The 26,677-nt window shown below is 37.3% G+C and overlaps 1 protein-coding gene across 2 annotated transcripts in view, besides 2 other annotated features; it reads right to left on the bottom strand.

Moving 5' to 3' along the window:
* The window catches only part of IRAK3 (interleukin 1 receptor associated kinase 3), a 65,409-nt gene that overhangs the window by 24,679 nt on the left and 14,053 nt on the right, over positions 1-26,677 (bottom strand). The window contains exons 2-8 of one of the 2 annotated variants that reach the window (NM_007199.3): positions 26,051-26,233; positions 20,424-20,488; positions 19,743-19,797; positions 18,347-18,498; positions 12,709-12,773; positions 3,107-3,221; positions 1,574-1,692 (exon numbers count right to left, since the gene is read on the bottom strand). In NM_007199.3, coding sequence (NP_009130.2) covers positions 1,574-1,692; positions 3,107-3,221; positions 12,709-12,773; positions 18,347-18,498; positions 19,743-19,797; positions 20,424-20,488; positions 26,051-26,233 — 754 coding nt within the window. The remainder of the gene's footprint in view (positions 1-1,573; positions 1,693-3,106; positions 3,222-12,708; positions 12,774-18,346; positions 18,499-19,742; positions 19,798-20,423; positions 20,489-26,050; positions 26,234-26,677) is intronic. The other variant, NM_001142523.2, reaches the window with a different exon arrangement.
* Positions 6,178-6,677: an enhancer, noted in NCBI's record as "NANOG-H3K27ac hESC enhancer chr12:66617047-66617546 (GRCh37/hg19 assembly coordinates)". NCBI's record gives its function as "activates a minimal SCP1, AML or CMV promoter by ChIP-STARR-seq in naive and primed H9 embryonic stem cells {active_cell/tissue: H9 hESC(naive and primed)}" and the evidence as "EXISTENCE:reporter gene assay evidence [ECO:0000049][PMID:30033119]".
* Positions 6,678-7,179: an enhancer, noted in NCBI's record as "NANOG-H3K27ac hESC enhancer chr12:66616545-66617046 (GRCh37/hg19 assembly coordinates)". NCBI's record gives its function as "activates a minimal SCP1, AML or CMV promoter by ChIP-STARR-seq in naive H9 embryonic stem cells {active_cell/tissue: H9 hESC(naive)}" and the evidence as "EXISTENCE:reporter gene assay evidence [ECO:0000049][PMID:30033119]".

Below are 26,677 nucleotides of genomic sequence, written 5' to 3'. Positions count from 1 at the left end.
TAAAATTAATCTATTGCTGCTTGGGGCTTTAAAATAAGCTAATACTTATTTTAAGTTTAGACCAAAGGACAAATATGTTTAGCAACATTCCAGATATTTATTTACTCAGTAAAACATATATTTGAGCACTTAGTGTGCTCAGTGTTGGTTGCAAGCTGAGTGGAGGAGGGATTGTTTTAGGTTGTGGGTGGCCACCTCAGCCCTTTGAAAGCAATTCCAACGGATAACTCCACTGACTGAAGACCCTCATGGTCCCTCTATATTCAGGTCCCATGAGTGTGCATTAATTTTATGCTGATTCTACAAAGCCATTAGCAGTTGCTGGATTGCCACACTGCAACAGGCACAGACGTCTATGGGTAGGTCACCCCGCCCCTCTAGAACTAAGTAAAACCTAGAGTCTTTTCCTATGGAGTTCATTTCATCAGAAAAACAAGTAAGCAATCAGCTCCTTTTCTGCCCAAGTCAAAAGCATACTACAAGTTTTTTTCAAGATACTGGGAAATGGTTCAGAAGCAGCAGCAGCCTTTTAAATTCAGTCTTCCTTGATATTCAGCAAAGGTGTATTCATGTACTTTTGGACAGGTTGAAGATAAAGGGCAAATAGAAAAAAATTCACCGACAGGGGGTATTTACTCTGGGTGAATGATTCTTTATGTCTAGAAGAAGAAATGTGGGAGATGTTGCTTCTAATTTTCTCATGTCTCAAAAATGAACATTGGGGTTGCTGCTCAGCTTGTCATAGGTTAATATATAAAGTTATGAGACAGCAGGCTCAGTAGGATGAGCAAGACACTGGAGACTCAAGGACAAACAATTTTTATTGCTATTTACTACTGCCAGCTTGCTAGGAATCCCCATTTAAGTTGCTTAATTTTTCTTTAAACTTCAGTTTTAAAAAAAGTACATAAATACAGGTTCATTTCACAAAGTGCCATTAATAATTACTAAAATACAGATGCTTCTCAACTTATGAGGTTACATCCTGACAAACCCATGGTAAGTCGAAAATGCATTTAATACACCTAACCTACCGAACATCCCAGCTTAGCCCAGCCTATGTTAAATGTGCTCAGGACAATTATATTAGCCTACAGTTGGGTAAAATCATCTAGTGCTAAGGCTATTTTATAATAAAGTGTTGACTACCTCATGCAATTCATTGAATACTGTACTGAAAGTGAAAAACAGAATGATTGTATGGGGATACTCAAAGTATGATTTCTACATAATACATATCACTTTTGTGCCATTGTAAAGTAAAAAAAATCATTTTGTTGAATCATCATAAATTGGGACCATCTGTACACAGAATTGTCTATCCTACATTGTTCATTAATAATTACCAAAGATAATGTAAACTCTCTTTTTGGCAACATACATATAGCTTTTTAAATTTGGTAGACACATTTTCATTAATAAAAATATAGGATTTTTAAATACCTAGATGAGAATTCTTAACACACACACATACATACCAGGAGAACTACAGCAGAGAATAGTGTGAAGTATGACTCACATGTGAGGATAAAAGAAGCTTTCAGGTATAACCAAAAGCTCTGGAATAATTTACCTTGATATACTGCCACAGATGACCGAGCATGGTTGAACGTTGTGCAGGTAGTGAATGGCTTTGGATATTCCTATTAATATACCGATTCGAATGTGCCAAGGGAGTGGGGCCGTGTCACCCTAAAACAACAACAGCAATTGGTTTGGTTGCACTTTCTGAGTAAAAACTACCTATGTATTCATTATGCAGACATACACCAGAATAGAAGTAGATAGCAAGGTGGGGTGAGGTGGGTGAATCAACGTTTTGGTTTTCCAAAACCTATTTTTAATTCCAGATGGGTTTCCTTCTGCTACTGATGACAGTTCTAGGCCTCTTTTATAGACAACGAAAATACTCAATACTTCTCAATATTAGCTTAATCAAAACATAGCTAGTAAGGTAACACTGCTTAAAAGTTCATTAAATAAGATTTTTAAGTTACTTGTGGTACAACAGTATGAGTAATTGAGACAATCTGCTTTTATTCTCATCCTAACTGAAACAACCTATTTGGAATCAATTTTTAAACTTAACCTCCAAAGACATCTAACGAGGAATCATGACATTTATTCAACCTCCTTCTCTCTCTCCCTCTCTCTGTCTCTCTCTCTTTTTTTTTTTTTTTTTGAGACAAGGTCTCACTCCGTGTCACCCAAGCTGGAGTACAGTGGCAGAATCATAGCTCACTACAGCCTCCATGTCCCTGGGCTCAAGCAACTCTCCTGCCTCCGCCTCTGAAGTAGCTGGGACAGGCATGTGCCATCATGACCAGCAGTTTGTTTGTTTATTTATTTATTTATTTATTTATTTATGACAGAGTCTCGCTCTGTCACCCAGGCTGGAGTGCAATGGTGCAATCTCGGCTCACTGCAACCTCCGTCTCCAAGGTTCAAGTGATTCTCCTGCCTCAGCCTCCTGATTAGCTGGGATCACAGGTGCCTGGCTAATTTTTGTATTTTTAGTAGAGACGGGGTTTCACCATGTTGTTCAGGCTGGTCCTGAACTCCTGACCTTGTGATTCGCCCAACTCGCCCTCCCAAAGTGCTGGGATTACAGGCGTGAGCCACTGCGCCCAGCCAATTTATTTTTTTAGTAGAGGCGAGAATCTGGCTATGTTGTCCAGGCTGCCTCTTTCTCTTTAGAGTCTGTGTCACTGCTATGGTGATCCTTTGTATTGAAGGATACTTTAATAAAGTTATACAAATTAAAATTATTTAAGGAATAAGAGTAGTTGATGCCAACTCACTGGAGGTACAGAATCAAATATAATATAACATGGTTGCCAAAAGATTTGCTGGGTTCTTACCATATAATGAGTAAGAACCCAACATGGTTACCAAAATGTTGCACAGAACACGTTAACTCAGGTATTTGCTCAGCCTTCTAAAAGTAAGAAATTAATCCAAGAAGTACTGCTTCCTTGGGAAACCCATTCTTGGCTTTCCCCTCATGCAAACACATCTTGCCTCCCAACTCTCCCAGACGGTTTCAGCAGCTCTCCCAGGGATTCAAGGGGTCAGAGGATCAGACAGAATAATAGATAGAACTTACTACACACTGCAATCTGTCAAAAAGTGTTCCATTTCTCATGTATGGATAAATCAGACAGAACTTCTCAGTCTCTGTAAAATATGCAGCCAACTCTAGTATGTTTGGGTGATGAAACCTTGAAACAAAAGATGTTTTAAAGCCATCAAATTGCTTATTCAGACAGGAAATGAACAACACACTGGTGTGGGGGTAGTAAGGTGGGATGGGGAATAGGCCTAAAGCGGAATATAAATTCAGCCGGACACATTGGGTACAGACACAGATTTGCTTTCCAAATTGGTCTAAAGAGTTCTAACGGCCAGGTGCAGTGGCTCAAACCTGTAATCCCAGCAATGTGGGAGGCAGAGGCTAGCTGATCACTTGAGGTCAGGAGTTTGAGACCAGCCTGGCCAACATGGTGAAACCCCGTTTCTACTAAAAATACAAAAATTAGCTGGGCATGGTGGTGAGCACCTGGTTATCCCAGCTACTCGGGAGGCTGAGGCAGGAGAATTGCTTGAACCGGAAGGCGGAGGTTGCCGTGAGCCAAGATCACACCACTACCCTCCAGCCTGTGCGACAAGAGCGAGACTCCACCTCAAAAAAGAAAAAAAAAAAAATTCTAACAAATACTAGTTACTGCTTTTGGTTGACTGTAATCATGTAAATATAAATAAAACATCCAAATATAAGGCAGAAAATTTAAAAAAATAAAGATTTTTAAAGATTTGTAATGTTGGAAAGTTTACAAAAGATAGACAACACTATTCAATATTAACTTATTTTTATCAATATGAAAGACAACATGACTTATTAAGTAAAAACAGTGCAACTAAAATTGTTAGCTTGATTTATTTAAGTATATAAGTTTAAGTCACCAAAACATAAGAATAAAGACCATTTTCATTCATCCACTTATTGAGCACTACTATGTCAGGTACTGTGCTAGATACCAGCTACACAGCTCAAAAGAGATGTCAGTGTCTTCACAAAGCTTGCATTATTGTCTAAATCCATATGACTAGTAATGTTTGATGTTGAGAACATACCATTGATTTTAAATCACAGATTTCTATGTCAGTGTAGTATGCATTTCTCAGGCTTTTTTTTTTCCTAATAATTATTTATTAGCTTATTAACAAAAACTCTATTCCTCGATTGTGTGTGCCATCACTATGAGCCCAGGTAACAACTATGAAATATAAAATGTGAAATTCACACATACTGTGAACTCGGTTTAATTCAAAAATTACTTATGGGACATCTACTATGTTCTGGGCAGGCTTGGGGATATTAAAATAAATCTGTAAAAAAGATTCTATTTATAAAAACCTATTATTCATTTCTGCAGTAGCAAAATTTTCCTATAAACACACACATTCCTACATATATTGTGTGTACGTGGCGGGGGAGGGGGATTCTGATTCCTTTTCTTCCTCTTCAAGGAAGGAAGCGTGTGTGTGTGTATGTATACATACACACACACACAATACACATAGAGAAGTTTTTATTTTTAAATATATCAAAGTCTTCTGTGATACAAGATCCCTACACCTATTATGATTCCAACTATATCTATGAAATGAAAAGCAGTGGATTGAAAGGAAATTGAGGTAGTGTATTTCACAGTCGGTGTATACCTGGTTGGTTCTCCTGCAACTTAAAATAATTCAGAGAGACTAATCTTTTGGAAGGCAGTAGATAGTGGACATCAGATAGACAGAGCCACGGCCTGGTGCTCTACTCTCTTGCTCAGAGAGGAGAAAAGAACATGTGCTTATTTTTAAGTATTACTGATCAAACAGAAAAACGGATACTTTAGAGGTTACCAAGGTATGGAACATGGAGATACCTTGGAGAAAGTTTGCTGGTGTTGTACCTATGGACCCATGCCACCCAATCTTTTGCTACAAATTTTTAAATCAGTAGGGTTTTAGATTATATACATCAGAAGGTTAGCAGATCTGATACCTTCTAAAATCACTTCAGCAAATGTTCTGAGTGCCTTGTTCAGACAAAATGATGCAGACCCCATGGTGTGGTAAACAGATTTGAACAACTAACCTGGGATTGAATCTCTGGTCTTTTTAACAGCTGTGTTAACTTGGGCAAGTTATTTAATCGCTCTGAGCCTGTTCCTTTAACTGTAATCAGTAATTAAAACATCTATTTCCAAGGTTCTTATGAAAATGAAATAAAAGGTTAAGCCAAAAGCCAGGTCCACAAAAATTATTAGCTTTTTCCCCTTCCCTCGAGAAAGGAGGGAAAAAAGGAATCAGAAGCCACATTCTATGGAGTTTACAATTCTGTTTAAGGTAATTTCCTTAATATTAAACTAAAGAAACCTCATCCTTCAGGTCTCAGCTTAGATATTATTTCTATCAAGAAACCTATTCTGCTGCTCATCCCCCAAGTTATCATTTCCTCCTCTGTGCTCTGTATTTCCTCATCTTATCACTTAAATTAGATTATTGAAATTGTCTGTTTACTTAGGGGCTTCTCTCCCAATCCCATTTCTGATAGTACATTCTAAGAGGAGAAAGCTGCATCTGCCTTAGTCACATCTGAGAAGATGATTCAGGAAATAACTTGGATCTTATAGAAAAGGTAAGATCTACCTCAGTTTCCTCATCTGCAAAATGGAGATAACAGGAGAATTTATCTCATTGGATGGTCATGAGGATTAATGAATTAACACATGTAAAGCACTTGAAACAGGGCCTAACACAAAATAAATATTAGCAAAATAAAAATGGTACCCCAGGAATAGCCAACATTATAAAATTGTAAATATCTCCAGATTAATCTATAAAGTTATTAAAATTGCATTAAAAATGCCGATAGAATTTTTGAAACCTAGACAAGCTGTTGTTGTAGTTCACAGAAAACACCTCACCAGACAAATAAATGGATCAGACAAATAAATGTAAAAAATGAAACCATGAAAGTACTGGGAAAAAATGGGAGAATTATTTTATTAGATTGGTGCAAAAATTACTGCGGTTTTTGCCCAGCTACTCGGGAGGCTGAGGCAGAAGAATGGCGTGAACCCAGGAGGAAGAGCTTGCAGTGAGCTGAGATGACATCACTGCACCCCAGCCTAGGTGACAGAGCAAGACTCCGTCTCAAAAAAAAATAAAAATAAAAAAAAGTAATGTTTACTTTTAATGGCAAAAACCATGATAACTTTTTTTTTTTTTGAGACGGAGTCTCGCTCTGTTGCCCAGGCTGGAGTGCAGTGGCGTGAACTCAGCTCACTGCAAGCTCTGCCTCCTGGGTTCACGCCATTCTCTAGCCTCAGCCTCCCGAGTAGCTGGGACTACAGGCGCCCGTCACCATGCTTGGCTAATGTTTTGTATTTTTAGTAGAGACGGGGTTTCACAGTGTTAGCCAGGATGGTCTTGATCTCCTGACCTCATAATCCGCCTGCCTCGGCCTCCCAAAGTGCTGGGATTACAGGCGTGAGCCACCGCGCCTGGCCTCAAACCATGATAACTTTTAATGGCAAAAACTATAACATAAAATCTGGAATCCGCAAAAGAAAACATTGATAAACTTAACTGTCAGGCCTCTGAGCCCAAGTTAAGCTATTGCATCCCCTGTGACCTGCATGTATACATCCAGATGGCCTGAAGTAACTGAAGAATCACAAAAGAAGTGATATTTAAATGGCATGTTCCTGCCTTAACTGATGATATTCCACCACAAAAGAAGTGAAAATGGCCGGTCCTTGCCTTAACTGATGACATTACCTTGTGAAATTCCTTCTCCTGGCTCATCCTGGCTCAAAAAGCTCCCCCACTGAGCACCTTGTGACACCCCACTCCTGCCCCACAGAGAACAACCCCCCTTTGACTGTAATTTTCCTTTACCTACTCAAATCCTATAAAACGGCTCCACCCCTATCTCCCTTCGCTGACTCTCTTTTCGGACTCAGCCCGCCTGCACCCAGGTGATTAAAAAGCTTTATTGCTCACACAAAGCCTGTGTGGTGGTCTCTTCACACAGACGCGAGTGAAATTACCTATATTAAAACCATTTCTACATGTCAAAACTATAATAAGCAAAGATGAAATGACAGTATGGTAAAAAATTATTTGCGTCTCATAACATAAAAATAGGCTGATTTTCTAATAGGAATTATAAAATATTCCTTTGAACCACTAAAAAAAGCCTAATTTTAAAAAATAGGTAAGGAATATTATAAGCTACTTCATAGAAAATAAAATATATCTCTTAAATATATAAAAGGATTATTAATATCTCTCAGAAAAATTGATACTATGAGACTTGTTTTTTTGAGAGGCCTCAAATAAATAAAATATAAATGAAAGAGGCGACATTACAACTGATACCACAGAAACACTAAGGATCATAAGAGACTATTATGAACTATCGTATGCCAACAATCTGGAAAACTTAAAAGAAATAGATGGATTCCTAGAAACATACAATCCACCAAGACTGAATCATGAAGAAATAGAAAACCTAAACAGACCAATAACAACCAAGGAGATTGATTAAATAATCAAAAACCTCCCAACGAAGAAAAGTCCAGGACCATAGAGATTCTGGGTAAATTCTAACAAGCATTTAAAGAAGAATTAATACTAATCCCTGTCAAAATCTTTTAAAAAATTAAAGACGAGGGAACACTGTCAAACTTATTTTAGTAGGCCAGCATTACCCTCATATCAAAGCCAGATAAGAACACAATGAGAAAACGTTATATGCCAATATCCATGATGGCCATAGATACAAAAATCCTCAACAAATTTAGCAAGCTAAATTCAACAGAACATTTTTTGTTTGTTTGTTTGTTTGTTTTTGGAGATCGAGTCTTGCTCTGTTGCCCAGGCTAGAGTGTGGTGGCATGATCTCAGCCCACTGCAACCTCCGCCTCCCGGGTTCAAGCAATTCTTGTGCCTCAGCTTCCTGAATAGCTGGGATTGCAAGCGTGCACCACTACACCTGGCTAATTTTTATATTTTTAGTACAGATGGGGTTTCATCATGTTGGCCAGGCTGGTCTTGAACTCCTGACCTCAGGTGACCCACCTTCCTGGTCTCCCAAAGTGCTGGGATTACAGGCATGTGCCCCTGTGCCCAGTCTTCAACAGAACATTAATAGGATGAAATACCAGAGTCAAACAGGACTTATCCCTGAGAAGCAAGGATGGTTCAACATGTGCAAATATGTAAATGATACACCATATTAACAGACTGAAAAATAAAAATCACAAAACCATCTCAACAAATGCAAAAGCATTTGATAAAATTCAACATCCTTTCATGATAAAAACTCTCAACAAATTAGGTATAGAAGGAATGTATCTCAATGTAATAAATGCCATATATGACAAACCCACAGCTAACATCATACCTTAACAGTGAAAAGCTGAATGCTTTTCCTCTAAGTTCAGGAAAAAGATAAGTGTGCCCACCCTTTCCATTTCTATTCAAGATAGAGCTGGAAGTCCTAGCCAGAGCAATTAGGCAATAAAAAAGAAATAAAAGCATCCTAATTGGAAAGGTGCAAGTTAAAGGTGGCTCTGTCTACAGATGACATGATGAAAACCCAAAAGACTCCACCAAAAAAACTGTTAGAACAATAAACAAATTCAGAAAAGTTGCATAATACAAAATCAACATATAAAAATCAACTATGTGTCTATATGCTAACAATGAACAATCTGAAAAGGAAATTAAGGAAATGATCCTATTTACAACAGCATTAAAAAGAATAAAACACTTAGGAATAAATTTAACCAAGGAGGTGAAAATTTTGTGCGTTAACAACTATAGGACACTGATGAAAGAAACTGAAGAAGACACAAATAAATGGAAAGATGCATTACATACCTGAATTGAAAGAATTAATATTGTTAAAATGTCCATACTACTCAAAGTGAGCTACACATTCAACACATTTCTATCAAAATTCCAATGCCATTTTTCACAAAAATAGAAGAAAAATGCTAAAATTTATATAGAACCATGAAAGACCCAAAACAGTAAGTGAGTTTAAGAAAGAAGAACAGGCCGGGCGCGGTGGCTCACGCCTGTAATCCCAGCACTTTGGGAGGCCGAGGCGGGCGGATCACGAGGTCAGGAGATCGAGACCGTCCCGGCTAAAACGGTGAAACCCCGTCTCTACTAAAAATACAAAAAATTAGCCGGGCGTAGTGGCGGGCGCCTGTAGTCCCAGCTACTTGGGAGGCTGAGGCAGGAGAATGGCGTGAACCCGGGAGGCGGAGCTTGCAGTGAGCCGAGATCCCGCCACTGCACTCCAGCCTGGGCGACAGAGCGAGACTCCGTCTCAAAAAAAAAAAAAAAAAAAAAAAAGAAAGAAGAACAAAGCCAGAGGCATTCACGTCCTGATTTCAAACTATATTACAGAGCTATAGTAATAAAAACAGTATGGCACCGGCATAAAAACAGACTCATTGACCAATGGAATAGAATTTAAAAAAAAAAATAACAGAAATAAACCTACATATATATCATCAACTAATCTTTGAAAAGGGCACCAAGAATATACAACAGAAGAAGAAAATTATCTTCAATAAATGGTGTTGGGAAAACTGAATACCCACATACAAAATAATAAAATTGGACCTTTGTCTTACACCATATACAAAAATTAACTCAAAATGGATTAAATACTTAAATGTAAGATCTGAAACCATACAAATCTGGAAGAAAACATAGGGAAAATTTACCTTGACATTGGTCTTGGCAATGATTTTTTGGCTATGACACAAAAAGCATAGGTGACAAAAGCAAAAATGAACAAGTGGAACTATATCAAACTAAAAAGCTTCTGCACAACAAAGGAAACAATCAACAAAATGAAATGGAAACCTATGGAATGGGAGAAAATACTTGCAAACCATATATCTAATAAGGTGTTAAGATACAAAATAGTGAGGAACTCATACAATTCAATAGCAAAAAAGCAAATAACCTGATAAAAATGGGCAAATGACCCAAAGAGATAGTTTTTCAAAGAAGACATACCAATGACTAAGAGGTATATGAAAAGATGCTTAACATCACTAATCATCAGAAAAATGCAAATCAAAACCACAATGAGATATCACCTCACACTTATTAGGATGGCTATTATCAAAAAGACAAGTGATACAAGAGTTGCTGAGGGTATGGAGAAAAAGAAGTCCTTGTATGCTGTTGGTTGGAATATAAAGTGGTACAGCCATAATGGAGGTTCCTTAAAAAACTGAAAATACAACTACCATAAGATCCAACAATCTCACTTCTGGGTATGTATTAGTCCATTTTCATGCTGCTGATAAAGACATACCTGAGACTGGGCAATTTACAAAAGAAAGAGGTTTAATGGGCTTACAGTTCCATGTGGCTGGGGATGCCCCACAATCATGGTGGAAGATAAAAAGCACATCTCACATGGCGGCAGACAAAAGAACAGAGCATGTGCTGAGAAACTCCCCTTTTTAAAACCATCAGATCTTGTGAGACTTATTCACTATCACAAGAACAGTATGGGAGAAACTGCCCCCGTGATTCAATAATCTCCGACCAGGTCCCTCTCACAACACATGGGAACTATGGGAGTATATTCAGGATGAGATTTGGGTGGGGACACAGAACCAAACCATATCAGGGTACGTATGTAAAAGAAATAAAATCAGTATCTCAAAGAGATATCTGCACTCTCATGTTTAATGCAGCATTATTCACAGTAACCAAGACATAGACACAACTTAAATGTCCATTGACAGAGGAATGGATAAAGAATAAAGTGTGAGACACACACACACACACACATACACACACACACACACGATGGAATATTATTCAGCCATAAAAAGAAGAAAATCCTGCCATTTCCAACAACATGGATGAACCTGGAAGACATTATGCTAAGTAAAATAAGCCAGACACAGAAGACAAATACTGCATGATCTCACTTATATGTGGAAGCTAAAAAAGTCAAACGTAGAGAAGCAGAGAGTAGAAAAATAGTTACCAAGGGCTGGGGGTTGGGAAAAATAGACAGATGTTGGTCAAAGCAGGCAACCTTTCCATTGTACAATGAACACATTCTGGGGATCTAAAGTACAGCATGGGTGGTAATAGATGTATTAATTTGATTGTGGTGATCTTTAGACAATGTGTACATACTGTATATCAAATCACATTGTACACATTAATATATACAATTTTTATTTGTCAATTAAATATTTTTTCAAAAGCTACCCTGATAAACTATTTTCACCTATCAGATTGGCGAAAATTAAGAGGTAAGAATAAATACTAGGTTGGCAACAATGGAAAACCAGGCACTCTCATATGACTGCTTTGAAAGTAAATTGGTATAACTTATATTGGAGGACAATTTGTTATGATAAAATGCACATAACCATTTGATACTATAATTTTATTTATGAGAATTTATTTTACAGATATACTCAAATAAGTATGAAATAACATATATACAAGGTTTTCTTGTTGCAGCATTATTTCATATAATAAAATATTGGAACAAATCTAAGAAATTGTGAACAGTGGGTTATGTAAACTACTGTATAGAATATAATAGAATATGAAAATAAGCAATGTGTACAATGTGTTCATGTCACCTCTTGTGTTAAGGGAGAAAAATAAGAAAACAAAATACATATTTGCCTACACACAAAATATCTCTGGAAATATATACAAGGAACTGGTAATACTGTTACTTTGGAAAGATCAGCTGGGTGGTTGGATGATAATGGTGGGAGAAAATCTTTTCCTGGTCTATGCTTTTGTACTTTTGAAATTTTGCAATGTTTGAATCTTACTTTCATAAGCCAATAAATAAAACTCACATGTAAAAACTTTTTACTATTACAATTTTGGATTTCATTTTTTATTGACTAAGTGATATGTAAGCTTTGATGATTAGCCTCTACTATTTTGATTTCTGGTCTTCAGTATAAAAGAAAATGGATTCAGTATAATGCCTTCTCTCTTCAGCTTCCTCCCTGCTTCCCGACTTCACATCTTGGTTAAAAAAAAATCTGAAAAAGTTTCCTATTTGTAAAGGATGACAAGTGAACTCTACAGGGTTAGAGGCCTTCAATGAGGAAGGCTGCACAGCTGCAGATATGAATATGTATATGAAAACGAAGTCATTTCAATTTGTCTCCAAGGACTCTCAGACTCAGGAGTGAATTCCAGAAAAATAATATGCACATCAAAAGCGCTTGATTTCTTTGTCTAAAACTCTCTTCCTGAATAGAGTTATACTGATGAAACAGCTTCTAGACTGGAATTTCTCTAAGGAAGGAGGAAATGGTGAAATATAGACCACTCTAATGTTCTAAGTATTACTATTCAGCCATGTTAGTCACACATGATTTAACCTACTTCCTTGTGACAGTTTCCTGTTAAAATATGTTCAAGTGAATTATGTAAATGATCTATTTTAAAATGTACTTTAAGGAATATACTAAAGCAGATATCAAAATTTATTCGAAGTTCTAACATCCAACCCAAATTTATTACATGTCACGCCAAGCTCTGTGCTGTAAAATAAAAAATGAACAGAGATGAAACCCAGGCACAAAGAGGAGGAAATTCCAGAGAAAACATACTCACAGTAGTAAAACTTCAAGCTCAGATAAAAACCTCTTCCAATGCTTCTTACACTGCATTTTTTTCTCCTACATATACAGAAAGACAAGAACAAAATTAAGGAAAGGATCTGTTTCTGGGATTCTTAACCCAGGGTCTATAGTCTCCCTAAATTAGATGAACTTTTTGGTGTAAACACATATGAACACTTTTCTGGGGAGATGACATTTAGCTTTCAACAGATTTTCAACAATCCATTAGCCCCAAAAGAGATCTAGAACCAGTGTTCTTGAATTGAAGGTTTTTCATGCAGTGTATCGCCATGTTAACTCTTTCATCATATTTTGCACACATTTACATAAATTCAAAAACATTCTATGTATTCAAAGACAATCCCATGACAGCTAGAACCTCCCCAACTTGATCTTATAAAGAATCCAACTTGTGTTATTTCTATTCTGCTACAAAATTTCACTAATTTGGTGTTTATGACTTGGGTTATTTGGATATGTCAGTTCAAGTTTACCTTTGCCTTTTGAAAAGATGGGCTTACTAAGCAAATAAAAATATAACTCTTTACTTTCAAGAAGCTTTAGAAGATAGCCCAGAGCCTGACACATGAATATTTTAATGAGTTCAGTAACATTGTACTGAACACCTACTCTGTCCCTAGCACTGTTCTTGATGCCTTCATATATCTTAGGTCATTGCATGTCTCTGGATCTCAGGTTTCCAACTTCTACCAAAAGAGTTAAATTAAGTATGCTCCTAGGTCTCACCAGTTGTAACGTTCTATCATTTGCAAATTGCTAGAGAAGGTGGAGTTTTGGAGTTCTGCCCTCAGGAATAAAGGGAGAGAAATTCAACAGGAATTTTGGAAACTATTTTCCAAGTTGAACTAGGAAGTCAGAAACAATAAATCAGGCTAAAAAATCATTTTCAAGGACCATTTTATCAGAATTTACATTTTACAAGACCATTGTCCTGGGAGCCAGATGGGTTGGATTTTCCGCCCATCTCTAACACTCGCTATTTGTGATTCTTTGTCAGTCACTTAACTTCCCTAAGGCCATAGTTTTCCAGTCTGAAAAATGAAGGAGTCGGTTTTTTTGTTTATGCTAATGTAGCACTCTAACACCCTGTTGCTTGAAATGTGGTCTATGACCAAAAAACCCCAGCTTCATTAGGAGCTGCCGAGAAATGGCAAATCCAGGGCTCCTGTCAGATCTGCTGAATCAGAATCTGCATTGTAAGATGATTCCCAGGTGATTAAAGTTAGAGAAGCACAGATCTAACACACCTAGTACAATTTCCCACCTCAGTCCCTCTAAGAAAAGTAATTGGTAATGAACCAATGTTACAAAACTGCATTTCTTTAACAATGTTCTGTGGCTAAGGCTTCATTAAATGCTCTCATTTTTTCCTGATAAGTGTGTGTGTGTGTGTGTGTGTGTGTGTGTGTGTGTGTGTGTGCATGTTGGGTTAAAATAGGGGGCGGAGATAAAAGCAGAAGGGCAAAGTCCGGCCATACTTTCATTTACCACCTTAAGAGAAAGTTAAAATGTATGTAGAGACAGTAAGACTTTGTACACACCTTGGTAATCTCAGGTATTTTTACTCGTAACAACTAGCAACTAAATTCTTGAAAAGGGTATGTATGCTGCATTCAATTTATCCAGCAAACATTTACTGAGCTACTATGGGCAAGGCCCTGTAATAAGGCACTAGGATACAAAGACAAATAAGAGCTCTTCAAAAAAAGCTGCCCAGTCCTTTGAGAGAGGTGGGTGAATAACGTAATGCTTTGATGCTATTGCTACACATAGGAGTGTCACCCAAACCACACTGGAGGGGTCAAAGACAATCCAGGAAATAACACCTTTCTTTAAGAAAGAAAGGGAAGGGGTTCTAGAAGCAATCAATACCATTCAGACTCATGGAAAGAAAACTCCCAAAAGGGAGTGTGATTTGGTGGCAGCTGCAGAGAGAGTAGGAAAGTAGACTGGACGGACCCTTTGGGGATGGGGTCCTGAGGCTCAACCATAAGACAATGTACGAATTGGGGCCAGGGACACATTGGCATTAAGAAACAGGCTTTAGCTTGGCCACCTCTAGAGCAACCACATTCTATTTGTTGAATAGTTGGGCCAGCTGGTTGTTTCTTTAGCAGACTGTTCATCTTCTCAGTAATTTTGAGATTTCTATGTACAATTAAGTAGTACTAAATGCAATTTGGAGAAATGGAGAAATTAGGTAAATAATTTTTAAAACGGTACGGTAATGCAAGCTGCAAACTCGGAATCACCTTGAAACCCTCCTTCTTCCCCACTCCTATCCAACAGATAATCAGATGTGGTCCACTTCACCTCGTCTCTTAGACATGCTTTCTCCTCTGCATCCTCACTGACTTTGCCCAGGCTAACAGCATTAACTCTCAACAGTGGCTACACATGTGAACCACCTTGGGACCTTTTAAAAAATACTGGTGACTACCATTTTTTTAAAAGTTCATTTTTTTAAAGGCCCATTTTTTTAAAAGTCAATTTTTTTAAAGGCTCATTTTTTTAAAAAGCTCCTAGATAATTCTAATATATAGTCAGGGTTGGGAACACGGGTTTATACCCTGTCCATTTCTTGGTTTGCACATCTGAAATATCCCTCTACCAGGTCTTTCTGCCTCCAGTCTGGTGGTTTTGTTTTGTTTTGTTTTGTTTTGTTTTTGATAGGGTCTTACTCTGTTGCCCACACTGAAATGCAGTGGCGTGATCTTGGCTCACTGCAACCTCTGCCTCCTGGGTTCAAGCAATCCTCTCACCTCAGCCTCTCGAGTAGCTGGAACTACAGGCAGGCACCACCACACCCAGCTATTTTTTTTTTAATTTTTTTTTTGTATTTCTTGGTAGAGACAGGGTTTCACCATGTTGGCCAGTCTGGTCTCGAACTCCTGACCTCAAGTGATCCGCCCACCTCAGCCTCCCAAAGTGCTGGGATTACAGGCATGAGCCACCATGCCCAGCCTGCCTCCAGCTAGCTCTTGCCATCTTTCCCCCAATTCTTCTGCCAACTTCCAATCCACTATCTAACCTAGAATCTAAGTCATATTTTAACAACACAAATCTTTCAGTCTCCTACTTAAAAATCACCCACAGACTTAATATCTTTCCAGCATCCTCTTCTCACCATCTTCCCTACACCCAGTCCGCTGCACTGAATGAAATGCTATTCATGAGGAAGACCTACGTTTTCATACACACACCTCCAGGTCTCTGCAACTGCTATTTGTTCCACCAGGAATGTAATTCCCCTCCTTTACTGCCTGCCAAAATTCTACTCATCCTTCAAAATCCAGCTGGATGGTTTCCCCATTTGTTTTTGAGAACTGTTTACTGAGTGGTTACTCTGGCCAGATACTCTTCTGGGTGCCAGACACAGCCCTCCTCTGGGAGGAGAGAGTCGCTATCTTTTTTTTTTTTTTTTTTAATTAGTAGACTTTATTTTTTAGAGCAGATTTAGATTTACAAAAAATTGAGAGGAAAGTAAGGCGTTCCCACACACATGCACACAGCTTCCCAATTATTAACATCTCACACCAGTGAGGTACATTTGTTAAAATCAATGATCTTAAGTTGACATATCATTATTACCGTAGTTTACACTAGAGTTCACTCTTAGTGTGGTATATTCTATGGGTTTTGACAAATATATGATAATATGTATCCACCATTACAGTATCAGAGTAGTTTCACTGCCCTAAAAATCATCTGTGCTCTGCCTATTCATCTAACCCTTACCAAACACCCAGACACCATATTTTACTGTCTCAATTGTTCCTCCTTTTCCAAAGTGTCATATACTTGGAATCATATGGTATGTAACCTTTTCAGATAGACTTCTGATATGGTTTTGCTGTGTCCCCACCCAAATTCATCTTGAATTGTAGCTCCCACAATTCCCACGTGTTGTGGGAGGGGCCCAGTGGGAGTTAATTGAATCATGGGGGTGGGTCTTTCCAGTGCTGTTCTTGTGACAGTGAATAAGTCTCACAAGATCTGATGGTTTTAAAAATGGGAGTTTCCCTGCACAACTTCTCTCTTGTCTGCATCGTAAGGCGTGCCTTTCATCTTCTGCCATGATACTGAGGCCTCCCCAGCCATGTGAAACTGAGTCCATTAAACCTCTTTTTCTTTTTTTTTCTTTTTTATTTATTTTTTAATTTTACTTTAAGCTCTGGATACATGTGCTGAACATGCAGGTTTGTTACATAAGTATACATGTGCCACGGTGGTTTGCTGCACCTATCAACCCATCATCTAGGTTTTAAGACCCGCATGCATTAGGTATTTGTCCTAATACTCTTCCTCCCATTTCCCCCAACCCCCCAACAGGCCCTGGGTGTGTGATGTTCCCCTCCCCTCTGTGTCCATGTGTTCTTATTGTTCAACTCCCACTTACAAGTGAGAACATGCAGTGTTTGGTTTCCTGTTCCTGTGTTCGTTCGCTAAGGATGATGGTTTCCAGCTTCATTCATGTCCCTACAAAGGACATGAACTCATTCTTTTTTATGGCTGTGAGAGTTGCTATCTTTTATGTGCTTCTGTGATCTTTTGTACAATTCTCGCTAAAGTACCTCTTTTACAACAGTTTAATCTTTTGTTTTCCTGGCTATTTCACCAGAGAGACTGTGAGCTCCTTGAGGACAGAACTATGCCTTATTCATCTCTACATGCTCAGCACCCAGTCCATATAAGAGTTTAGTAAATGTTTACTTATTGTTGACCAACTATGAAGAAAACGAAGAGCAGCTCTTCTGTGTTTGTGTGTGGACCTATCTCTGACTGACTCCTGAGCTTGATCCTGGAATTCCCTTTTTGCTTCATTGGCTGCAGTCAATCAACTGTCTTCTGACCTCCTACTCTGTTTGTTGGTTTGTTGTTCCTACTCGAAAGCCTCCTCCTTCCACCCTTCTGAGTTGTGATAGAAGACAATTTATAAAGCAGTACCAAATGCCAAACTGTGGCTTAGCCTGTGAGGCTGCCTGGAGAGGACCCGGCTCATCCTAAAAATCCAAGAAAATCAGGGCAGGCTAGCACTACCTGACCCTCTTTAACAAAGTCCTGGAGACTTTTCAGAAGTCTTTTTTTTTTTTTTTGAGGTGGTGTCTCACTTTATCACCCAGGCTGGAGTGCAGTGGTGCAATCTTGGCTCACTGCAGCCTCTTCTTCCTGTGCTCAAGCGATTCTCCTGCCTCAGCCTCCCAAGTAGCTGGGACTACAGGAGCATACCACCACGCCCAGCTAAGTCTTGTGTTTTTAGTAGAGACAGGGTTTCACCCTGTTGATCAGGCTGGTCTCAAACTCCTGACCTCAAGTGATCCACCCACCTTGGGCTCCCAAAGTGCTGGGATTACAGGCGTGAACCACCACACCCAGCCCAGAAAAGTCTTTCATGCTATAACATCTGGGGATGGAAAGCATTTAACTTCCTCATTCTTGCAAGACAGGTCTTTACTTCTCCAGTCATCTGAAATCATATCTCTTATTTCCACTTATAAAATTTTATTTTCAAATACCCCTTTCAATGTTGATGAAAAATGACATATTTTAATATGAAAGATGAACAAATAAGTGGAACTGATGTCCTGTGACAGTAATTCTTTCCATACCTGTTTAAATAATTTGACAGCATATGTTAGGTTTTGAATCTCCACTCTGTATACCTCAAAAATCTCTCCTTCTCCAATTAGGAAGTCTTTGTGGAAATTTCTAGTTCCTTCTATGATATTTTGAAAGCTGATGGAAGATTTAAGCAGTATTCCTTAGGAAGGAAAGTAGGGGGAAGATAAGTTAGCTAAGAAGGAACATCACCATTATAACCAAAATTTCTATATTAGAAACAAATCAGAGTCCAGTGGAAGGTTAGTAGAGAAAGGCCCAGGAACCAAAGCCGAAGACCACCATGTGCTCTCTGCACATTTACTTGGATCTAGTTCCCACCATTCCACAGAGCAAAGGGTTTCTTCGGACAGCAGCATTGTGATTTTTACCTCCTCTCAAAAGAGATCAGCCAAAGAGCTTAGTGGAAGAAATTCTTCCAAGATTCAATTTTCTGGTCATTAGGTCAATGTGTTGCTGTTGACCCACTATGAACCTAAAACTACTAAAAAATTATGGAAGTGGAAATATGGACATGACTAAGCAATATTCTCCAAGCATGACTGATAGAAACACTTCTCATGTGCCAAATCCTCTAACTGCCTAATTTACTTCCTCAGAGTGAATTAGAAAGATGATTCAGCCTTTTAAAAACTCACCCAAAGTGGAGATTGGGAGAAAACATGCAAACAGGAATCAAATACAAATTGAAAAGGAAAAGTTTGGCTATGTCCTTCAGAACCCAACTTTGGCTATATTTCCATAGCTAATACAAAATCCTCTCTGAAGACACTTAATGTTTGATTTAGACCTTATTGTTGAAGAACCAAAGCCTTATCTAACTTTCCTAATTCTTTTTTCAATGAAAGAAGCATCAGATCTAGTGGCAAAGACTAGGCAACGCAGCCTTAAATAGTCTTTAACATTTATCAGAATGATTCCAGGTGGAACTAAATTATTCTTCCTACTAATAAAGTAGGAAAGTTGATATGGAAGATAACTAGATTTTCATACTGACCTTCAGCATTGCTCTACAATCATCTTGAAAGATTTCTGTAATTGCTGTGAGCATTTCTAAAACTATATAAATCTCAACATAATTTTAAAAATGTTTTCCCATGACACACAAACATAGCAAATTTTACCAACAAAAAACTAAAATATCCCCCGTGTGAAGAGACCACAATTGCATTCTTCATTAGCCAATGGAGCCTTAACATAATAACATATCATCTATTAGAACTATAAGTGTCAATCAAATTGAAGTTATTTTAATATCTATGAAATTTTATACCGAATTTGAATATAAATGATTATTGTGTTTATTGGGTATTTCTCCCTCTTAATTCACTTAAATGAAAGTATGATTTTAAAAAAATTGTTGGAAAAAAACTGGTTTTTTCATACCTTTTTCATTATGTTCAGGAATAAGAACATTATCCACGGTGACATTGGCTGTTTCCTAAGAGAAGAAATATATACTAAAGTAATTCCATTTCATACATCTAGAAAGAACAGAGCCTCAACACAAATCCAAAGCTCCCTGGGGACTATGCAGTGCAACAGAGTGCAACCTAATTTAAAAGAAAGCTAGCAGAAATCAAAGTTATTTCACTTTATTTAATAGCATTCATTGCCATATTTAAGGCTTTCACACCAACAGTAAAAACTCAAGTTTCAATGTCATAGTCAGTCAAAGTCAATTTTAAATTACTTTTAATGCTATAAAAATGATCACTGCTAGTTTGCTCTAATAAAAACTAACAGTGACATGCAAAACACCAACCAAAAAAGGAAAATTAAAAGCTGAGTTAAGACAAATGTATAAATCACAGCATCCTTAGTAGTTCTCAGTCTCATCTCTGACAGATCACTGAGAACAGAAAGCTCTTAATTTCTCAAATATTTATAAATCTCTAATTTCCTAAATCCTCAACTAAATAGAGAATAATGAGAGAACAAAGGCATTTCTGATTTTTAAAAAGTGCCGGCAAATCCAGCATTTTTCTGCCTGCTAATTTCATTCCTTATGCTCAATTATACATGCAACAAAGTTCAAGGCTCATTTTCTATGCACACATACTCTACCTTGAATAATATATTTGGAAATCCACCTTCCTGATAACTCTTCTCTGAAGGACTCAACACTGCTCCTGAAAGAGAAATATGGGAAGGTAGATACAAAAAAATTTTATGTCCCTAATGTTTTTCCTTTCTGAGACTCTGAAAATAAATGTCTTGCTAGCCATTGTTCATTTCTAAAGTTTCATTCCCATGCAACATTACGATAAATTTGTGAAAGTATTATTTGTGAAGTATTATATTTGTGAAATAGCTTTCTAATTAACAAATGTTATACAAACATACTTTTGTTCACTTAAAACATAAGTAGTTGCCTTAATCTATTATTAACTTTAAATAATTTAAATAATTAAATAATAAACAAGTAATAAGACAAATTGTTGTTAGACATTAAAAATATTAAAGCACAAAGAAGAAAATTTAAAAAAAATTATCAGCCTTTTTTTTTTTTTTTTTGAGATGGACTCTCACTCTCGCCCAGGCTGTAGTACAGTGGCATGATCTCGGCTCATTGCAATCTCTGCCTCCACTTGAGAATGTCAAGTGATTCTCCTGCCTCAGCCTCCCAAGTAGCCAGGATTACAGGCACCTATCAGCATGCCTGGCTAATTTTTTTTGTATTTTTAGTAGAGATGGGGTTTTACCATGTTGGCCAGGCTAGTCTCGAACTCCTGGCCTCAAGAGATCTGCCTGCCTCGGCCTCCCAAAGTGCTGGGATTACAGGCATGAGCCACCCACCACACTGGGCCTTTTTTCTTTTTTTTTTGAGACAGAGTCTCGCTCTGTCACCCAGGCTGGAGTGCAGTGGTGCAATCTTGGCTCACTGCAACCTCCGCCTCCTGGGTTCAAGTGATTCTCCTGCCTCAACCTCCTGAGTAGCTGGGATTACAAACCCCTGCCACCATGCACAGCTAATTTTTGTATTTTTAGTAGAGACAGGGTTTCACCATGTTGGCCAGGTTGGTCTCAAACTCCTGAGCTCAAGTGATCTGTCTGCCTCAGCCTCCCAAAGTGCTAGGATTACAGGCATGAGCCACAGCGCCCAGCTGTATTATCAGCATTTTTGCACATATATTTTTAAATGTTACAATTATGATATTATATCTTCCTGGGTTAGTTTATTTTTTTATATCATCTTGTGCCATAAAGTATTGGAGGTGGTGTGTGTGCGTGTGTGTGTGTTTGTGTGTGTGTGTGTGTGTATCAATGACAAATACTTACCACCCCAAATGTCGACTATAACTTCTATGTGGTAGAGTGCTGTCTGGACTGAGGTAATTTATGTAGCTTCCTACAAAAGAGTAAAACCCTGCCATATTTTGCTGTCATTTCTAACATTTTGTCTCAGACTAGAAAACTTTCATTTTCTAGTCTAGCTTTCTTCTTTCTAGATTATCTTCTAGTGTTTCTTAAATTATTTTGCTTAGAAAACTAGCAAGAAAGCATAACCAATCAATAACAAATTTCCTTGATAACACTATAAACCAGCTAGACTTAACAGACATCTATAGAACATTCCATCCAAAACCAAAATATACACATATTTCTCAAGTATAAATTGAACATTTTCCAGAACAGACCTGACCTTAGGCAATTAAATGAACCTCAAATACATGTGTAAGGATTAAAATCATACAAAGTCTATTTTCTGATCATATTGAAATACAAGCACAAATCAGCAGCAAAAGGAAATTTGGGAAATTCACAAGTATCTGGAAATTAAACAACAAAATCATAAATAACAAATGAATTAAAAAAGAAGTCATGAGAGAAATTAGAAAATACCTTGAGATGAATGAAAATGAAAACACAACATATCAAAAGTTATGAGATGCAGCAAAAGCCATGCTTAGAGGGAAATTTATAGCTGCAAATGCCTACCTTAAAAAAAGAAGAAAGGCATCAAATCAGTAAACTAAACTTTCACATTAAGGAACTAGAAAAAGAAGCACAACCTAAACTGAAGCAAGCAAAAGGAAGGAAATAATTAAGATTAGAAATAAATGAAATAGAGGAATTTTTTTGTTTGTTTGCTGTTTTTTGTTTTTTTTTTTGGAGATGGAGTCTCACTTTGTCAACCAGGCTGGAGTGCAGTGGTGCAATCTCAGATCACTGCAACCTCCACCTCCCAGGTTCAAGCAATTCTCCTGCTTCAGCCTCCTGAATAGCTGCAACTACAGGCGCATGCTGCCACGCCCAGCTAATTTTTTTGTATTTTAGTAGAGATAGGGTTTCACCGTTTTGCCCAGGCTGGTCTCGAACTCCTCAGCTCAGGCAATCTGCCTGCCTCGGCCTCCCAAAGTGCCAGGATTACAGGCTTGAGCTACCTCGCCTGGCCGAAATAGAAGATTTTTTAAAAAGAAAACTCGATAGAACCAAAATTGTTTTTTTGAAAAGATCATTAAAATTGACAATCTTTTAGCTTAACTGACCAAGAAAGAGATTCAAATTACTAAAATCAAGAATAAAAGGGGGGACATCAATACTGACCTCACAGAAATAAATGGAATTATAAAGGAATATTATGAACAATGATATGCCAAAAAACTAGATAACTTAGATGACATGGACAGGTTTCTAGGAAGACACAAACTATTGAAACTAACTCAAGCAAAAATAAACAATATACATGGACTCATAACAAGAGATTGAGCTAGTACTTTAAAACGTCCCACAAAGAAAAGCCGAGGCTTAGATGGCTTCACAGGTGAATTCTACCAAACATTTAAAGAAGATTAACACCAGTCCTTCACAAATTCTTCCAGAATAGAAAAAGATAGAACAATTCCCAAATCATTTTATGAGACCAGTATTATTGATACCAATGCCGGATAAAGACATTACAAGAAAACAACAGACCAATACCTCTTACAAATATAGATGCAAAAATCCTCAACAAAATACTGGCAAACTGAATCCAGAAGCATGTAAGGATTAGATACAATGACCAAATGGGATTTATCCCAGGAATCCAAGATTTGTTTAATATCTGAAAATCAATCAATGTAATACACCACATTAACAGAATGAAGGACAAAAAACACATGTTCATTTCAATAGATGACAAAAAAGCATCTGAAAAATCCAACACCCTATCATGATAAAAGCCCTACCAACAGAAGAAAATGTCCTCAATATGATAAGGGCCATCTACAAAAAACCGACAGTTAACATCACTAATCATGAAAGACTGAATGTTTTACCCTTAAGGTCAGGAACAAGATAAGGATGTCTGGTCTTGCCACTTCTACTCAACATGCTAAAGGTTCTAGCCAGGGCAACTAGGCAAGAAGAAAAAATAACAAACATACTGAATTTGTGTAGAAAAAAATGTGAAATCTGGGGGCTGTATGGGCACTAAAAGTCATTATTTCTTTTGCTGTTTGTGAAAAGAGAGAGAATCCTTCATTGTCATATAAAATGGAAGATTGAAAATGTCTCTCTTAAGAAGAAGCCAGTAGAAAGCTGCGAATTTTGTGTCAAAACTGGAAAACAATTGCTGAACATTGAATTATAAATACAAAATGTGATACATAAGGACATGCATGCCAGAAATATAATAACAAAAAATAGAGATTCTAGTTTCTTGAGCAATTTTGTTATGTCCTGAGATCTGAGAGAATGCTTTACTGATGTGAAGAAACCACCTAGCAGCAGCAACCTGAATTGTAGGCATAGTACCTGGGAGGAAATAAAAGGCCCATTTCAATATGACTAGGAAAATCCAAATCTACAAAGTGATGCCTGGAAGCTGGAATATAAAAGCCCCAAATTCTTCTAAAATAAAATCAGTTCCACAAAACAGAATAAAATTGCAAGGAAAGGTGGGCAATAACTGATTATTTAGATAACTGATAAATCTGTCCACGGTGGCAGCATAGAAGGACTAAATCATTTTATGCATCTTTAGTTAGGAGCTCCAACTCCTAATTTAATGAGTAGCTATGATAGGAAACGCCTGTTGAGCAAGCTACACTTATGCTTCCAACAAATCATCACATCTCACTTTTAACAACTACATAATTAACTTTTTCAAAATTGTTATTTAATTTGAAACATCAACTCAATCAATTACAATTAAATAATGCTATTTTCTTTAGTAAAGAAGTAAGGTGCTATCCTCCTCTTCACTTCAGATTTACCTATCTCTTTGTACTAGGGCAGTAAAGTCTTTTTACCAATCGGCTAATCTCACATCAAAAAAAGAAAAATAAATGTTGCATGTGCAACAGACTAAGAGTCAACCAAGAATGTGGAATTTTTGTCTACTTACAGTCCACATTATTCTCTGCTGCACAAATAAACAACATAGAGAGTGAAAATATACCCTAAAATTTATTCCAGAACACTGAAGTATAAAACATACCTGTGTGTCCTATTAAAGTGGCGTAAGTTTGTATTGTGAACAGCAAGCCATGTGGGTGGTTTCAGTGGCTGGGAAAGGCTCAGATAATGAAAAGGCATTGCATTTACAGTTCCCAGGGACTCACTGAATTTCACTTGCTCAGTCAACTTCACAGTGAAGTATTCTGCTGCCCTAAACTAAGTGAAGAAACAATGTGCAAAAGACAAAGGGAATTAGCCAAGTTATATGAATAATATCATGGTGGAAGTCTATTAGGAACTAATATCCCAATAATAGGAAAGATCAAAATAAAAGTCAATGTGAAGCTACAGTTTTCTGGTACAAATCTCTCAGGATTCCTTGTGTGTGTGTGTGTGTGTGTGTGTGTGTGTGTGTGTGTGTGCGCAAGGGCTCATGCGCACTAAATATATTACCAAAGAACATGTGTGCAAATACACAAAACTAAAAATGCGATCTATGAAAAGAGCCAAAGAATAAAGATGTTGATTCAAAAGAGTTTCCAATCTAAGAGCCTTGGGTCTATAACATAAGACCCAAGATCATTATTGTTGAAATGAATACATCTAAGTGGAACAAACAGAACAGGTGATGTTAGATTATTTCACTGACAAAGAATAAATGGAGAAAACTTCATGAACTTTATTGATCATGTTGTTCTAAATATAAGGCATGACACAGACCCAGAAATAGAGAAGACAAAGGGAAGAATTAGGCTACTGTGGAATGGGTAGTAACAAGTAAGGCAGGGTTAAACGCTGTGGTGTAAAAACAGCAGTGAAGATAAAAGAAACATCCCCAGATTATTCTGGAGGTAGGTACAATATAAAATATTAAATATGGGGGAAAATACAATTATATTTTTAACTTGTAATATATAGTAAAACAAAGAATAGCATGATCTGTATCTCAAATATTGTGATTCCAACTGTTTATGACTCAAAGAGTTTCAGAGTTTTTGACAGAGAGCTGATTCTATTAACTGCTAAAAATGAAACATTTTTAAAAGTGTAGTTTGTAAGTAAAAGTAAGTTAAAAAAACAAAACTATAAAGTGATAGAAAGAAATATGTTGTATAAGTTAGGTGATAAGGGAAGAAAGTGTCACAAGAAAATGTGAAGCTGGAAAGTCCCTTCCAGATAAAAGCCACAGGTAAGGAAACACTGACACAGAGCATGAGTCAATGTCTTGGATAAAATGCAATATTCGAATTTACAAATTACAGTTCCTATTACAGATTAAGAGCCACATTATAAGAATCAGCATTTACCATAGTTTGTAATTAAATGAATAGCTCGACGATGTCCCATCTCCTGGAGGACCTGTAAAAGGTCACCGATGGTCTTGTTTTTCTGTGCCCAGGACCAAAGTAATTCTCTTGTTCCACTTTTACCTTGGTCTACATACTTTTCAATATGACGAACATCCAGCCAGCTGCTTGAAAGTCTCTCTGCTGTGGAAATTGCAATATAAACAAAGAATTGTTTACTGTACTTTTATCAAAATACTTGTTTTTGTGTACCTAATGTTTTATTTCCTCTTATTTATAACTTTAACTTTCCTCTTATTTATAACTTTTATTTTGAACTAATTTGGAATATATTCACCTGCCTTCTGCTAATGTTGACATCTTACTAACCACAATACAATGATCAGAATCAGTGATAACTGCAAACCTTATTCTAATTTCACTAGTTTTTCCACTAATGCCTCTTTTCTGTTCTAAGATCCTATCCAGTTTTCCATATTATATTTAATTGTTCCTTCTCCTTAATCTCCTCCAATCTATGATGGTCCCTCAGTCTTTCCTTGTCTTTCAGGACAGTGAAATGATATTGTCCTTCTCAGTGCATAATATCAAGAGGTTTAAGATAGCAATGTCTTATCAATAATAATG

This window comes from Homo sapiens, chromosome 12 (assembly GCF_000001405.40).
Source record: "Homo sapiens chromosome 12, GRCh38.p14 Primary Assembly".
NCBI classification, from domain to species: Eukaryota; Metazoa; Chordata; class Mammalia; order Primates; family Hominidae; genus Homo; species Homo sapiens.
The sequence above is the reverse complement of the archived record's forward strand: the minus strand, read 5'-3'. Positions and strand labels throughout refer to the sequence as shown.